The sequence below is a fragment of the Homo sapiens genome, chromosome 16 (genome assembly GCF_000001405.40).
Source record: "Homo sapiens chromosome 16, GRCh38.p14 Primary Assembly".
Taxonomy (NCBI): Eukaryota; Metazoa; Chordata; class Mammalia; order Primates; family Hominidae; genus Homo; species Homo sapiens.
The window spans coordinates 9,149,230-9,167,311 of record NC_000016.10 but is presented as its reverse complement, the minus strand read 5'-3'; the positions used below and the strand labels follow the sequence as shown (position 1 = coordinate 9,167,311).

At 48.4% G+C, this 18,082-nt stretch overlaps 1 pseudogene, besides 1 other annotated feature; it reads left to right on the top strand.

Moving 5' to 3' along the window:
* RPL21P119 (ribosomal protein L21 pseudogene 119) lies at window positions 10,391-10,970 on the top strand (annotated as a pseudogene).
* Window positions 12,605-13,240: an enhancer, noted in NCBI's record as "H3K4me1 hESC enhancer chr16:9247929-9248564 (GRCh37/hg19 assembly coordinates)". NCBI's record gives its function as "activates a minimal SCP1, AML or CMV promoter by ChIP-STARR-seq in naive H9 embryonic stem cells {active_cell/tissue: H9 hESC(naive)}" and the evidence as "EXISTENCE:reporter gene assay evidence [ECO:0000049][PMID:30033119]".

Below are 18,082 nucleotides of genomic sequence, written 5' to 3'. Positions count from 1 at the left end.
CACAAGTGCAAAGATTAGGACTGCCACAGTTTTTTGTTTTTTTTTTTTTTTTTTGGGACAGCGGCTCGCTATGTCACCCAGGCTGGAGTGCAGTGGTGCGATTTCGTCTCACTACAATCTCCGCCTTCCTAGTTCAAGTGATTCTCCTGCCTCAGCCTCCCATGTAGCTGGGATTACAGGCATGTGCCACAATGCCCAGCTAATTTTTTTTTTTTTTTTTTTTTTTTTTTTTAGTATTTATTGATCATTCTTGGGTGTTTCTCGGAGAGGGGGATTTGGCAGGGTCATAGGATAATAGTGGAGAGAAGGTCAGCAGATAAACACGTGAACAAAGGTCTCTGGTTTTCCTAGGCAGAGGTCCCTGCGGCCTTCCGCAGTGTTTGTGTCCCTGGGTACTTGAGATTAGGGAGTGGTGATGACTCTTAACGAGCAAGCTGCCTTCAAGCATCTGTTTAACAAAGCACATCTTGCACCGCCCTTAATCCATTTAACCCTGAGTTGACGCAGCATATGTTTCAGAGAGCACGGGGTTGGGGGTAAGGTTACAGGTTAACAGCATCCCAAGGCAGAAGAATTTTTCTTAGTACAGAACAAAATGGAGTCTCCTATGTCTACTTCTTTCTACACAGACACAGTAACAATCTGATCTCTCTTTCTTTTCCCCACATTTCCCCCTTTTCTTTTCGACAAAACCGCCATCGTCATCATGGCCCGTTCTCGACGGTCGCTGTCTCTTCGGAGCTGTTGGGTACACCTGCAGAAAGGCTCCCAGACGGGGCGGCCGGGCAGAGGTGCTCCTCACTTCCCAGACGGGGCAGCCGACGCCCAGCTAATTTTTGTATTTTCTGTAGAGACGGGGTTTCACCATTTTGCCCAGGCTGACCTTGAACTCTTAACCTCAAGTGATCCACCCACCTTGGCTTCCCAAAGTGCTGGGATTACAGGCGTAAGCTGCCGTGCCCAGCCAGGACTTCCACATTTTGTGGGGTCACAATTCAACCCAAAATGCCTCCCTCCCTAGCAGTTCCAGCAAAGACAGCCCAGTGCGGAGCAGCACGGGCTCCCAGGTACTCGCCGATGGAAGGTCCTGGGATGGGACCAGCGGGACTCAGGCAGTAGACCAATGACATCTGCTGTGGCCTCTAAGCCCACGAGTATATGAGTGTATTCTCCTGGCTACACTTCCAAGGCAGTGCAAATTGGGTTAAAGCTGAAAAGGCCATCCACCCTCAAGCATGACTAAAAGATTAAGAGTTGTATCTCAAAACCAAAAGCCAAGTGTGCGTTTGGGCCACAGCTCCGACCAGCTCAGCTGCCAAGAAGTTATCAGTGCAGATGAACTGCCTAATAACGGGAAGTGCCTCTTAATGGCCCTTCAAATCATTTCATTAAAAGTTGCCGTGATGTCTCCAGCTGAATCCGAGTCGTGCTGGGAAGGCCATTAGGTTAATCAAAATACAAGGACAGCTCACCATCTATTCTTAATTAACAAATTAGGTCCTACTGCCAACTCAGCAAAACAGAGAGCTGGCCAGCGACCCTTGGGGCAGTCGGAATGCTCAGAACACCCTTCCATCACTGACTGCCAATCAATCAGAGCCTAATGGAGAACCTCGGCCCGGGGCAACAGGGTTATCCTCACTGGAAGCGGATTAGAAGGGCTCCAAGATGGCGCTTTTACCAGCAAAATATCTGCCCCGCTCCCCTATGTGTGTCTCTCGTGGTAAAATGCAAGCTCCATAGGACGACAGGTTGCTCCTGTTGGCCCGGGACTGAGAAGCTGCCTGGGACACTGGACCCGCACTGCTGAAGCCAGAATGGTCCCAGGCAAACCAGGACAGTCACCAACACTCTTGCTTCATGATGGCAGGGACTTGGTCTATGTCGATTGTGTTTTTTCCCCAGGGCTAAAACAGTGCCTGGCGCACAGTGGACAGCAAAGAATATTACTGAGATCAAAATATAAATGAGTAAATGAATTTCTTTCTTTCTTTTTTTTTTTTTTTTTGAGACAGAATCTCGCTCTGTCACCCAGGCTGGAGTGCAGTGGCACGATCTCCACTCCCTGCAACCTCCACCCTTAGGTTCAAGCAATTCTTGAGCCTCAGCCTCCCAAGTAGCTGGGATTACAGGCACCTGCAACCAAGCCCGACTAAATTTTGTATTTTCAGTGGAGATGGAGTTTCACCATGTCGGCCAGGCTGGTTTCTAACTCCTGACCTCAAGTGATCCTCGGCCTCAGCCTCCCAAAGTGCTGGGATTACAGGCGTGAGCCACCACGCCCCATCTTTTTTTTTTTTTTTTTTTTTTTTTGAAACAAAGTCTTGTTCTTGTAACCCAAGCTGAAGTGCAGTGCAGTGGTGCCATGGCTGACTGCAGCCTCGACCTCCCAGGCTCAAGTGATCCTCCCACCCCAACCTCCCGAGTAGCTGAAACCACAGGCATGTACCACCACATCCAGCTAATTCTTTGTAATTTTTGTAGTGTCACTACGTTGCCCAGGCTGGTCTCAAACTCCTGGGCTCAAGTGATGCTCCCACATCAGCCTCCCAAAGTGCTGGGATAAAAGGCATGGACCACCACACTCCCCCATGAATAAATGAGTCAATCTCCCCTCTGTCTAATCCCACAAGGTAACCAATTCAAACAGCCTGGAGTATATTCTTCCATGTTTTTCCTTATGCCCACAAAAACACACACAAATAAGCATACAGTACACATAATATGGAACCTCTTGCCACCTCTGACAAAAAAGGAATCATGATACAGACATGATTTAGCAATTTACTTTTTCACTTAACACTGGGCAGTCCATCTCTTTCCAGATCTCTACACATAGAACTACCCAGTTCTTTTTCATAGTTCATGGTTTCCATAACACTGCATGTGCTATAGTTTATTCTATTATTTACCTATTGATAATTTGTCTTTCCAACTTTTTCCAAGGCAAACAACACAGTAATATCTTTGCACACATATCTTCACATGCTGGTGATTGTGCTTGTATCAGGATAGATTCCTAAAAGTCAAGCGGACTTTGGGCTTTTTTTTTTTTTTTTTTTTTTTGAGACGGAGTTTCGCTCTGTCGCCCAGGCTGCAGTGCAGTGGCGCGATCTCGACTCACTGCAAGCTCCGCCTCCCGGGTTCACGCCATTCTCCTGCCTCAGCCTCCCGTGTAGCTGGGACCGCAGGCGCGCACCACCATGCCCGGCTAATTTTTGTATTTTTAGTAGAGACGGGGTTTCACCGCGCTAGCCAGGATGGTCTCGATCTCCCGACCTCGTGATCCGCCCGTCTCGGCCTCCCAAAGTGCTGGGATTACAGGCGGGCTTTTTTTTTTGAGATGGAGTTTCGCTCTGTCACCCAGGCTGGAGTTCAGTGGCCTGATCTTGGCTCACTGCATCCTCTGCCTCCCAGGCTCAAGCGATTCTCCTGCCTCAGCCTCCCAAGTAATCAGGACTATAGGTGCCTGCCACCACACCTGGCTAATTTTTGTATTTTTAGGAGAGACGGGGTTTCACCATGTTGGCCAGGCTGGTCTCAAACTCCTGACCTCAGGGATCTCCCCACCTCAGCCTCCCAAATTGTTGGGATTAGAGACGTGAGCTACAGCGCCCAGCCAGGCATGTTTAATTTAAACAGACATCAGGACTCACCTGAGTTAGGACAAGGCAAAGAAAGATCACCCCAGTCCAGCAAGACCGTAAGGTAAGAAATCCGGAGCCGGGTGCGGTGGCTCATGCCTGTAATCCCAGCACTTTGGGAGGCCAAGGCGGGTGGATCACCTGAGGTCAGGAGTTTGAAACCAGCTTGACCAGCATGGTGAAACCCTGTCTCCATTAAATACAAAAAATTAGCCAGGTGTGGTGGCACATGCCTGTAATCCCAGCTACTTGGGAGGCTGAGGCAGGAGAATTGCTTGAACCCAGGTGGTAGAGGTTGCAGTGAGCCAAGATCACACCACTGCACTCCAGCCTGGGCAACAAGAGTGAAACTCCATATAAAAAAAAAAAGAAAAGAAAAGAAATCCAGCAGTTAAGGCCAGGCATGTTGGCTCATGCTTGTAATCCCAGCACTTTGGGAGGCCGAGGCAGGTGGGTCACCTGAGGTCAGGAGTTCAAGACCAGCCTGACCAACATGGTGAAACACCAACTCTACTAAAAATACAGAAATTAGCCAGGTGTGGTGGTGGGTGCCTGTAGTCCCAACTATTCAGGAGGCTGAGGCAGGAGAATCGCTTGAACCTGGGAAACGGAGGTTGCAGTGAGTAGAGACCATGCCACTGCACTCCAGCCTGGGTGACAGAGTGAGACTGTCTCAAAAAGAAAAAAAAAGAAATCCAGCTGTTATTCATGTCAGACACTCACTTCCCAGCTCTCCCCCAGGGCTGTGGTATAAACAAGGAATTGATTGCTTCTTGAGGATGCAGAGAAAAATATGATGTGGTCCCTGTTCTAGAAAACCCCACAGTTCAACAGCAGAGAGCAGGGAAGGGGAACTTTCATGGGCTAAACACTCACTAGGTCCCAGGCATTGTTCCAGATGCTTCCATGCATGGGACACTCAAATACTTTCCTAGTTCCATCGTTAAACAATTTATTAATAAATAAATCCGCAAGGGAGGAAAGATTATCCTGGTTTTACAGAAGAGAAATTGTGGGTCAGAGAAGTACTGTGCCTTGCCCAGGGTCAAACAACCAGTAAGTGTCAAAGCTGGGATTTGAACTAAGGGTCTGGCTGAGCCCAAAATCATTTTCCATGATATCATTGGGCCTTGACCTTGGCTATATTGGAATCATCATGACTATATTGAACTTTAAAAATAACAAGCTGGGCATGGTGGCTCATGCCTGTAATACCAGCACTTTGGGAGGCTGAGGCGGGTGGATCACCTGAGGTCAGGAGTTCGAAATCAGCCTGGCCAACATGGTGAAACCCTGTCTCTAATAAAAATATAAAAATTTCCCAGGCGTGGTGGGGCATGCCTGTAGTCCCAGCTACTCTGGAGCCTGAGGCAGGAGAATCTTGAACCCGGGAGGTGGAGGTTGCAGTGAGCCAAGATTGTGCCACTGCACTCCAGCCTGGGCGACAGAGTGAGACTCTGTCTCAAAAACAAATAAATAACATACGGGCCAGGCACAGTGGCTCATGCCTGTAATCCCATCACTTTGGGAGGCTGAGAAGGGAGGGTCACTTGAGGCCAGAAGTTCAAGACCAGCCTTGGCAGCAAAGTGAGACCCTGTCTCTACAAAAAATTTAAAAATTAGCAGGGTGCAGTGGCACACGCCAGCTACTGGGGAGGTTGAGGCAGAAGGATCACTGGAGCCCAGGAGTTCGAGGCTACAGTGAGCTATGATGCCACCACTGCACTGCAGCCTGGGCAACAAAGTGAGGCCTTGTCTCAAAAAACAAAAACAAAAACAAAACACACACACACACACAAATTATGGTCCCAACCCTAAAGCATGTAATTAGTCTGATGGAATTGGTCTAGGGTGGCCCCTCAGCCACACACACATTAGGGATTTTAAAAAGCCAGTTGACTCCAATGTGCAACCAATGCTGAAAACAGCTACAGGATACCAGTGGTTCCTGCCCTTAAGAATGCATCAGCCTCGCCAGGCACGGATGCTCACGCCTGTAATCCCAGCACTTTGGGAGGCTGAGCTGGGAGGATCACTTGAGCCCAGGAGTTCAAGACCAGCCTGTGCAACATAGGAAGACCCCATCTGTAAAAAAAAAAAAAAAAAATTAAAAATTAGGCAGGCGTGGTGGTGCACACCTGCAGTCCCAGCTACTCAGGAGGCTGAGGCGGGAGGATGGCTTGAGCCCAGGAGGTCGAGGTTGCATGAGCTGTCATTGTGCCACTGGACTTCAGCCTAGGCAACAAAGCAAGATCCTGTCTCAAAAAATATTAATAATAATCCATGAGACCCAACTGGAGGGCTTGTTAGGGGCCAGTTGCTTGCCCCCCAACCCCACAGTGTGCCTTTCTAAGACGCTGATGTTGGTGGTCTGGGGACCGTGCTTTAGAAACACCACCCTCACGTGGACCTGTCCGTTATCTTTTCTTTCATCCCCGTTTTGCAGAGAGGGACACTAAGCATCATGGAGCTGACCACGTTTATCACCACCCAAGACCACGTAGGCAGCCGTAGAGGCAGTCAGGCAGCCTCGCCTCTCGGCTTCCTTTGAGGTTTTAAAGGCTAAGAGGGTGTCATTTGTGGGTTCTCAGTGTCCTAGCCTAGATCCATGTGACAATTTTCTTTTTTTTTTTTTTTTTTTTTTGAGACGGAGTCTCACTCTGTTGCCCAGGCTGGAGTGCAGTGGCATGATCTCGGCTCACTGCAACCTCCACTTCCTGGGTTCAAGCGATTCTTCTGCCTCAGCCTCCCAAGTAGCAGGGATCACAGGCGTGCACCACCACGCTCGGCTAATTTCTGTCATTTTAGTAGAAATGGGGTTTCGCCATGTTGGCCAGGCTGGTCTCGAACTCCTGATCTCAGGTGATCCACCTGCCTCGGCCTCCCTAAGTGCTAGGATTACAGGTGTGAGCCACCGCTCCCGGCCCACGTGACCATTTTCTTTCTGCCTGGTATTTGCCAATGTGCTTAATGAGTCTGCGTTGAATTAAAGAATGCCCTGGCTTGCCCCCGCCCCCATGAATCCCTCTATAAACACATACGTACTAACCAAAAAGAAGGATAAATAGAACACACTGAAACGCCAGGGTGACAGCTACCTGCAGCACTGGCTGAGTTTTCATTTTCTTCCATCTCCTGAGAGAAAGGAAGCCACTCCCTTTCTGGGAATATGAGCCCCCGGCTGACTCCAGGCGGCTCATCCCCCTACCTTCCTCTGCAAAAACGAACAGGGATTTAAGCAGCAGCAAAGACACTCGGAGGTCATCTGGGCCATCTCCCAGCATCTCCTGTCTCCTGTCTGGGCGGCAGCAGGCGAGGCTACCTGGGTCCTGAGACTCCCCGAGGACGGCGATCCCCTGCTGCCCCCTGCTGGCTGAATTGGTAATGGCTGAGAAGTGAACGCAGCTGGGAATGCAGGAACTTCAAAGTCTCCGGTCTCTCTGACTCGTAGTCTCCCCGCCTCCTCTTGAAAGATTCAAGTTCCCCTGGAAGATGAGCCAGCCTTTCCAAAACTACCTTCAGTATCTGCACTATGCCTGCCCATTCACATTCATATTCTCCACTAATTCCCACAATTGTATTTCTGAGAGAGAGACCTTCAGTATCCCGGTCGTTCACCAAATGTTCCCTGGGTGCTGCAAGGAGTCTGGCTGTGTATGAGTCCAGGAGTTCAAGACCAGCCTGGGCAACATAGCAAGACCCCACCTCCACAAAAAATGAAAAAATTAGCCAGGAGTGATGGCACTCAACTGTAGACACAACTACTAGGGAGGCCAAGGAGGGAAGTTTGCTTGAGCATGGGAGGTGGAGGCTGCTATGATGGTGCCACTGGTACTCCAGCCTGGGCCACAGAGTGAGATCTTGTCTCCCCCCCCAAAAAAGAATAATATTCTGTAACACGTGAAAAGTATACAAAATTCAACTCTCGATGTCCATATATAAAGTGCGTTTTTGTTTTTACTTTTTTGTAGAGACAGGATCTCATTCTGTTGCCCAGGCTGGTCTCAAACTCCTAGCCTCAAAGGATCCTCCCACCTTGGCCTCCCAAAGTGCTGGAATTACAGGCGTGAGCCACAGTGCCCGGCCTCCAGTTGTCTCTGAAGTCTCCTTTTTCTTCTGGTAGACCAGGGATCAGCATACTTCTGTAAAAGGAGAGTGAATATTTTTCATTTCGTGCGCCATGCAGTCTCTGTCCAAATGACTCAACTCTGCTCTTGTATCTAGAAAGCAGCTGTAGATGATATGTCAATGATGAATGTGGCTGTATTCCAATAAAACTTTATGTATGGGTCAGGTATGGTGGCTCACACCAGTAATCCCAACACTTTGGGAGGCCGAGGTCGGGAGTTCAAGACCAGCCTGACCAACATGGAGAAACCCCATCTCTACTAAAAATACCAAATTAGCCAGGCATGGTGGAGCCGGCCTGTAATCCCAGCTACTCAGTAGGCTGAGGCAGGAGAATCGCTTGAACCAGGAAGACGGAGGTTGCTGTAAGACGAGATCGCACCATTGCACTCCAGCCTGGGCAACAAGAGCGAAACTCTATCTGAAATAAAAAATAAAAAATAAAAAAATAGACAACTGGGCTGTGGGTGGTGGTGCATGCCTGTGGTCCCAGCTACTCGGGAGGCTGAGGCAGGAGAATTGCTTGAGCCCAGCAGTTTGAGATCAGCCTGGACAACAAAGTGAGACCCTGCCTCTACAAAAAAAGAATTGTTTCTTTTAATTAGCCAGGCATGGTGGCATAAACCTGTAGTCTCAGCTACTTGAGAGACTGAGGCAGGAGGATTGATTGAGCCCAGGAGTTCGAGGCTGCAGTAAGCTATGATTGCACCACTCCAGCCTGGGCAACAGAGCGAGACCCTGTCTCTTACAAAAAAAAAAAAAAAAAAAAAAAAGAGGCTGGGCACCATGCCTGGAATCCTTGTACTTTGGGAGGCTGAGGCTGGAAGATCACTTGAGCTCAGGAGTTCGAGACCAGCTGGGGCAACATGGTGAAATCTGAAATCCTGTCTCTAGCAACAATACAAAAATTAGCCAGGCACGGTGGCACATAACTGTGGTCCCAGCTACTCCAGAAGCTGCGGTAGGAGGACCACTTAAGCCTGAGAGGTCAAGGCTGCACTGAGCTGTGATAGCACCACTGTACTCCAGCCTGGGTGAGAGAGCAAGACAAGAAAGAAAGGGAAGGGAGGGGAGGGGCGGGGCAGGACAGGGAAGGGAAGGGAAGGGAAGGGAAGGGAAGGGGAGGGGAGGGAAGTGAAGGGAAGGGGAGGGGAGGGAAGGGGAGGGGAGGGGAGGGGAAAAGAAGAGAAACTAAGAGACCAGGAGTGGTGGCTCAAGCTTGTAATCCTAGCACTTTGGGAGGCGGAGCGGGGTGGATCACCTGAGGTCAGGAGTCCGAGGCCAGCCTGGCCAACATGACAAAATCCCATCTCTACTAAAAATACAAAAAAATAAGCCGGGTGTGGTGGCAGGCACCTATAATCCCAGCTACTTGGGAGGCTGAGGCAGGAGAATCGCTTGAACCCAGGGGGCAGAGGTTGCAGTGAGCCGAGCTTGCGCCACTTCACTCCAGCCTGGGTGAAAGAGCGAAAGTCCATCTCAAACAAAGAAAAAAGGAAAGAAAGAAAAAATACTAAAGAACTGGCTTTAGTTGAGCAACTATAAGACAATTTCTATGCAAGGTGCTTTGCACACATGACCTTGCTAATCCCCAAGGCAACCTTCCAGGTGCCCTTATTACCCACAAGTTACAGGTGAGAAGATGGAAGGTCAAGGCCACAGAGCCAAGAGGCAGCAGGGTTGAGGTCAAACTCAAGTCTGTCTGACTCCAAAACTCATGTTTATTCGATTACCCGAAGCTGCCTCCCTGCTCAAAATCTTAGTATGTTTCCATTTTACAGATGATTCACCTGTGGCTAATGGAGGTCAGGTGACTTGCCCAGGGCGCTCAGCTAGTGAATGAGGGAGGACAGACTTGAGCTCCGGTGTCTGACTGCAAATCCCGTATTGTATCCTAGACTGTTTCTCCTAACATTGATTGGGAATCAATCCCTCAGACTGATTATCTCTGTAACAATAAAAGCCTGAAACATAATCATGATACCACGAGGGAAGGAAGGGTGTGCTCAATGAAGTGAGGTAACAGGCTTCACATTTTCCTGCGGGGATTACTCCAGCCAGCCCCAGACTGACAGTTCTGCAAAATTGGTATAAAACTCTGCTACAGTGGGTTTTAAACTGTCCCCTGTGGAAAGCACAGGGGCCGAAGGAGGTGAGGGGAGAATAGAATAAGGATGTCAACTTGTGAAGCCACACAGCCCCTCCCACCACTTCAATCCATCAGAACAAGCCTGCTTTTATCTGTTCCATTCATTGACCTGTCAGATAAGGTTTCATTGGAAAAGAAGCCTGCATGGGGCCGGGCGTGGTGGCTCATGCCTGTAATCCCAGCACTTTGGGAGGCTGGGGTGGGAGGATCACCTGAGGTCAGGAGTTCAAGAGCAGCCTGGCCAACATGGTGAAACCCCACCTCTACAAAAATACAAAAATTAGCCAGGCATGATGGCAGGTGCCTGTAATCCCAACTACTCAGGAGGCTGAGGCAGGAGATTGTCTTGCACCCGGGAAGAGAAGGTTGCAGTAAGCTGAGATCGCACCACTGCACTCCAGCCTGGGCAGCAGAGCAAGTCTAAAAAAAAAAAAAGAGGGCTCCGTGGCTTAAGAAATAAAGTTTGCAGCCTTTCGGCCGGAACTGCCATCTTCCAGTAATTCGCCAAAATGACAAACACAAAGGGAAAAAGGAGAGGCACCCGATATATGTTCTCTAGGCCTTTTAGAAAACATGGAGTTGTTCCTTTGGCCACATATATGCGAATCTATAAGAAAGGTGATATTGTAGACATCAAGGGAATGGGTACTGTTCAAAAAGGAATGCCCCACAAGTGTTACCATGGCAAAACTGGAAGAGTCTACAATGTTACCCAGCATGCTGTTGGCATTGTTGTAAACAAACAAGTTAAGGGCAAGATTCTTGCCAAGAGAATTAATGTGCGTATTGAGCACATTAAGCACTCTAAGAGCCGAGATAGCTTCCTGAAACGTGTGAAGGAAAATGATCAGAAAAAGAAAGAAGCCAAAGAGAAAGGTACCTGGGTTCAACTAAAGCGCCAGCCTGCTCCACCCAGAGTAGCACACTTTGTGAGAACCAATGGGAAGGAGCCTGAGCTGCTGGAACCTATTCCCTATGAATTCATGGAATAATAGGTGTTAAAAAAAAAAAATAAAGGACCTCTGGGCTACAAAAAAAAAAAAAAAAAAAGAAAGAAAGTTTGCAAATGATCACTTGGATGGGTGCTAAATCAAAAATCCCCAGGGGCAGAGTGGGACTGTCTATTGGTTTGTTATTTTGTGTGTTTTTGTTGTTGTTTTGTTTTCTTTTGTTTGAGACAGGGTCTCGCTGTTGTCACCCAGGCTGGAGTGCAGTGGCATGATCATAGCTCACTGCTGCCTCAAACTCCTGGGCTCAAGCCATCCTCCCAAATTGACTTCCTAAAGCACTGGGATTACAGGCATGAGCCACCGCACCCGGCATGTCTATTGCTTTGCTTACATTGTCATAACAAAAGACCACAGTCTGGGTGGTTTAAACAACAGACATTTATTTTCTGACAATCCTGAAGCCTAGGAGACCAGGATCAAGGTGTCAGCAGAATTGGTTTCTTCTGAGACCTCTCTCCTTGGCTTGTAGATGGCCGCCTTTTCCCTATGTCTTCACCTCTTCGTCTTCTTCCTCTTGTTATTCCTTTTTTTTTTTTTTTTTTTTTTTTGAGACGGAGTCTCCCTCTGTTGCCCAGGCTGGAGTACAGTGGTGCAATCTGGGCTCACTGCAACCTCCACCTCCCGGGTTCAAGCGATTCTCCTGCCTCAGACTCCCAAGTAGCTGGGATTACAGGCACCCGCCACCATACCCGGCTAATTTTTGTATTTTTAGTAGAGACCGGGTTTCACCATGTTGGTCAGGCTGGTCTCGAACTCCTGACTCAGGTAATCCACTCGCCTTGGCCTCCCAAAGTGCTGGGATTACAGGCATGAACCACCGCACCCGGCCAATCACCTCTTCTTCTAAGGACACTAATCCTATTGGATTAGGGCCCACCCAATTAGGTTGGTTAATGGAATCATCTCTCTAAAAACCCTGTCTCAAATACAGTCCCACACTGAGGTACAGCGGGTCAGGACTTCGACATGAGAATTTTCGGGGAGTATGCAATGCATTTCATAATACAGTGTGTTAGGGCAAGCAATGTCACCTCTCCCACGGGGTTCATCTGAAGGAAGGGGGGACATGCCAGAGGGAGAAACAGGTGTGGAGCCCACTGAGAGAGGAGGCTGCTAACGGCTGGGGCAGGACAGCGTAGCTGTGACGGATCCCTCCAGTCTGTCAGGCACCCAGATCCTGTGAACAGGATTTATCGCTGCAGTCACTGGGGTAATCGGAGAGAAACAGGGCTGTCAGGGACAGGTCCCGAGGACAGTATTTCAGCAGCGACCCCCCTCCACCCATGCCCCCCATGTACTCTATGAGTTACTGCCCCTGCAACCCCAAGCCCCTGCCCTGAGCTGTGTGGAGGTGAATATTCGTCTTGAGAAAGGGCTATTCAAGGTTGCTTGTCTGCAGAGCCTACCCTGGTCACCCTCTCCAGGGAAACGTGCCTGTCCTGCGGGGAAGCGGGCTCAGAAATCCTCAGTCTTCCACTGCACAACACAACCACCTGCAGAGATTTTGAAGTCCCGGGGCCTGAGCCCCACCCTCGGCGATTCTGATGTAAGGCGTCTGGGTGTGCGGTTGAAAACCACCGCAGTAGCTAGCGCGGCACTTCTCCCACGACCCCAAATGCAGATCTGAGCAGAGAGCTACCCACTCTTGGAGAATGTTCCCGGCATCGCATCCTGCCCAGCTGTCTCTGAGCTCATCGCACCCCCTCCTCCTGCATCACAAGCAGAAGCCACAGGAAAAATTGTCTCCAGCTCCCTCGCTGGGTTTGCATCCTAGCCCTGGGCGCTTCACCCGCACCCATCCGGCCGCTCCCTTTTCATCCCCTCTCCCGGTGGATGGCCACGTCCCCCCGCCCTCTGGTTCTGTGCGCCATTCGATTTAGACGGCCCCCTGGCTACACTGCCCTGGCGCTCTGGAGGGTGTCTCATTGGGCCCTTTGCCTGCAGAGGGTTACCAAGAGGTTTTGGGATGAGAATCGGGATGGGTGGGCGCATGTACCAAAATTCATGTCCACCTAGAACCTCAGAATAGGCCCTTATTCGGAAAGAGTCTTTGCAGATGTCTTTAGTTAACGTTTAAAAAGGTCATACAGGATTAGGGTGAGCCGTTCACTCCAATGACCTCTAAGAAGAGAGAAATGTGGACAGGGACACACAAGAACGCCACGTGACAATGGAGGCAGAGACTGGAGTGATGCAGCCACAAGTCGGGGAGCACCCAGGGTTGCTGGGGGCCCTGGAGTCTAGGACAGAGTCAGGGCCACCAGAAGGAACCAACCCTGTGGTCCTACTGATGCAGGCACCCAGGCTGTGGTCATTTCTTATGGCAGACTCAGGAAGCTCAAACAGGGCCCAGGAGTGGGGTGCAGTGAGAGGAGGACCCCAAAGAGACCAAACAAAGCCAACAACCGACAATCAAGGAGTAGAAAACAAACCTGGGAAACTGGCCATGGCGGGGGGTCGTGTGAGAGGTACTAGGAACTCTCACTCTCACACACACAAGCACACACGCACACATACATATACACACACAAATACACATACACACACACAAATACACACACATTACACACAAGTACATATACATACATATGCACACACACTTATACATACAAATACACACAAACACACATACACACATATACATACACACAAATACACACATACACACGCACATATACACACGTACACACATACACACACACCCAAATACACACATACCCCGAATACACATACACCCAAATACACATACACACAAACACACACAAATATACACACACGTAGACACACACCCAAATACACATACATATACACACAAATACACATACACACATACACACACCCAAATACACATACACATACATGTACACACAAATACACACACACCCAAATACACATACACATACATATACACACAAATACACATACACACATACACACACCCAAATACACATATGTGCACACAAATACACACACATACACACATACATACACACAAATACACATACACACACATACACACACCCAAATACACGTACAAATACATACATACACACACGTACACACACATATACACACATATACACACACAAATACACACATACATATACACACAAATACACATACACACGCATATACGTACAAATACACACAAATACACATACAAATACACACACACAAACACATACACATACATACACACAAATATGCACATATACACACGTACACAAATACACATACACAAAAACACACACATACACACACACATAAACACATACACACAAATACACATACATACACAAATACACATATACACACGTGCACACGCACAATTCAAGCATGGGGTGCCCTAGAAGGACTTAGGAGTGGGAAGATTTGCACTAGAGACGCAGATACTTGCTCACTTAACCTTTGTGAGCTCCTCACCCCGAAATGGGGTGCAAGCGTCCAGCCCGCAGGGTGTGCTACGGATAGAAGGAAACCTAGCACAGATCTGATTCTAGCTCACAGCAAGCGGGCTGTAGGGCTCCCTGGGAGGGGTGAGCAGAGGGAGGTGGGGCCAGGCAGGAAGGACTCTGCTGGGATTTCATCCAGTATTATCCGGGGCAGAGCTAAAACTCCAAACTTCTACTTCCGGCGCCACCTCCAGCCCATCTTTAAATGCCTGGCTGTTCCGATACTCTCTGTAATGTGTGGACACTTCGTCGGTGGAATTTACTTTGAGGATTTTAATAAAAAGGGGATCTGACTGGCGCTTCTGCTGATATCCCCCGAGCAGAAGACTCAGAGCCATGTGGGCTACTCTTTCTTCCCCAGCAAATTACATCGAAAAATAGCAGCAGGCTCAACTGTCGAAAATTCCATATTCTTGTCCTGTTGGAGAAGGGTCTTTTTAGAGGGGACACGCTAATTTATGCTTGAATGAGGACCACACACAAGACTAGAAATGCAGAAATTCCTAAATAGGCAGCATGGGCCCATGTTAATCATAATACAGGCATGAATTCTGTAGCAACTGTCCATTCTGCATGGTGCACATCAATGCTAGTCCTCCTCCAGCCTAGTGGGGTGGTGGGAGTAGACCGCCTGGTGCAGACAATAAGGGGCCACATTATCTATAAAAAGGGTAAAGACCAGAAATGGTAGCTCATGCCTGTAATCACAGCACTCTGGCAGGTTGAGATAAGAGGACTGATTGAGCCCAGGAGTTTGAGATCAGCCTGGGCAACAAGGCGAGACCCCAACTGTACCAAAAAAAAAAAAAAAAGTAGCTAGGCATGGTGGCGTGTGCCTGTGGTCCCAGCTACTTGGGAGGCTGAGGTGGGAGGATCACTTGACCCCAGCAGTTGGAGGCTGCCGTGAGCTATGATCACGCCACTGCACTCCAGCCTAGGTGGCACAGCAGTCTCTAAAAAGAAAAAAGAACTTAAAAACAAGAATAAAACCAAGCACAAGCTGGTCTGTTTTTTATTGTCAACATGAGCCATGCAATACTCCACCCCCAAACAATCTTTCCTTGGTCTAAGTTCTAAACAGCTGCTGCGCTTCCTGTTGGGCTCTAATAATATATACATGCCCTTCAGATTAGCACGTGGCTGTTTCTTCTTTAGTAAACACTGTGGCCCAGGTCAGTGACTCACCTCTGTAATCCCAGCATATTGGGAGATGGAGGCTGCAGGATTGCTGGAACCCAGGATGTAGAGACCAGCCTGGCCAACATGGTGACAGCCCATCTCTACAAAAAATAAATTAGCCAGGCGCGGAGGCACGTTCCTGTAATCCTAGCTACTTGGGAGGCCAAGGCAGGAGAATCGCTTGAACCCGGGAAGCAGAGGTTGCACTGGACTGAGATGGCACCACTGCACTCCAGTCTGGGCCACAGAGGGAGATCCTGTCTCAAAAAAAAAAAAAAAAAAAAAAAAAAAAAAAAACTGAAACAAGCAAACAAAAAAAAAATTGTCTTCTACACGGAAGTTTATTATGAGAAGCCCCAGGCACACAGCTACGCACCTTTGTTTTGTAAGTAGGTTCCCAGCCGGTGTGGATTATTGCTGCTCTGTCTCCTCGGGGCTCCAACTACCTGCAGCAGTTTGTATCCCTGAGCTGCAACAGTAGATGCAATGTAAACAAGGAGAGCCCAATGGCAAAGAACTGGAACTTCAGTGGCTTTCATTCTGATATCCTGTCTGCAAGTAAAAACCTGGAATTTGTATACGTGTGTACAGGTTAGAACAGCATGGCAGCAGAACCTGGGAGGTGTGCCATTTTTGTCTGGTGAGTGCAGATTTTAGTTCACACATGAAATATTTTATTGAATTCAAATAACATTTAAAAAAATTTTTTTTTCTAATTTTTGCCCAGGCACGGTGGCTCATGCCTGTAATCCCAGCACTTTGGGAAGCTGAGGCGGGTGGATCACTTGAGGTCAGGAGTTTGAGACCAGCCTGGCCAACATGGTGAAACCCCCGTCTCTACTAAAAATACAAAAATTAGCCAGGCATGGTGGTGGGCAACTGTAATCCCAGCTACTCAGGAGGCTGAGGCAGGAGAGTCGCTTGAACCCAGGAGGCAGAAGTTGCAGTGAGCTGAGATCACAGCACTGCACTCCAGCCTGGGCGACAGGGCAAGACTCCGTCTAAAAAATAAAAATAAAAATAAATTCTAATTGTTTTCTGCTATCTAATTACAGATTATCCAACAACATCTCAAACTGGGTGTGGTGGTGCATGTCTGTAGTCCCAGTTACTCAGGAGGCTGAGGTGGGAGGATGGCTTGAGCCCGGGAGGTCAAGGCTGCAGTGAGCTGAGATTGTGACGCTGAACTCCAGCCTGGGCAACAGAGTAAAAACCTGTCTCAAGAAAAATTTAAAAAATTGAAATATCTTCTCTTTCCGTTGTTAATCATTTGTTTTAAAGCTAAAGAACAATAAAATAGTTATTTTTACTATTATAAGACTACTACGGAAGATAATTTTGTCATATAGAAGAGGAGAGGTTAATGTAATTAATGCCACTGATGTGTACACTTGAAAATGGCCAAAATGGTGAATTTAATGTTATATGTATTTTGCCACAAATGTTTTAATAATGAAATATGCCAAAAAATTGTACACTTTAAATGAGTGAAGTGAATTGTACATTATGGAAATTATATATGTTTTAAAAAGAAGAGGAAGTGTTAAAAAATGATCCCAGGCCAGGTGTGGTGGCTCATGCCTGTAATCCCAGCACTTTCGGAGGCGGCGGGGGGAGGGGGGCAGATCACGAAGTCAAGAGATCCAGACCATCCTGGGCAACCTGTTGAAACCCCATCTCCACTAAAAACACAAAAATTAGCTGGGCATGGTGGCGTGCAGCTACTTGGGAGGCTGAGGCAGGAGAATCACTTGAACCCAGGAGGCAGAGGTTGCAGTGAGCTGAGATCACACCAATGCACTCCAGCCTGAGTGACAGAGCAAGACTCCATCTCGAAAAAAAAAAAAAAAAAAAAAAAAGATCCCGTGTGGGTGTCATATAAGCTATAAAGGCCACCGGGTGGTATATCCCTATTTTGCAGAAAATGGAGGCTCTAAGAGGGGAAGTAACATGTTCAAGGTCACACTGCTCGTAAGTGGCAGAATCTGGATTCAAATCAGGTCTGCCTGTCCACACTAATGTGAGATCCTGTTGTGGTTTGAATATTTGTCCCCTCCAAAATTCATGTTGAAATTTAATCCTCAATGGGGCAGTATTGAGAGATTACAGGCGTGAGCCACTGCGCCCGGCCAGGCCTGGTGGCTTTATAGGAAGAGGAAGAGAGACCTGAGCTAGCCGACTCAAACCCTCCCCATGTGATGCCCTGGGCCACCTCAGGCCTCTGCAGAGAGACCCCACCAGCAAGAAGGCCCTCACCGTATGTGGCTCCCTGATCTTGGACTTCCCAGCCTCCAGAACTGCAAGAAATAAAATGCATTTCTTATAAATAACCCAGTTTCAGGGATTCTGTTATAAGCAACTTAAAATGGACTAAGATCCATTTCCATTCTGCCATTCTGCCGCCTTCAACACACACTGTGGGCGCCCCCCCACCACCATCCCGAAAGAAGGGCTTGACATCTGAGACCTTCAGGGCTGAGGGACATCAGAGCAGCCACTTCACAGCTCACTTGGGGAAGG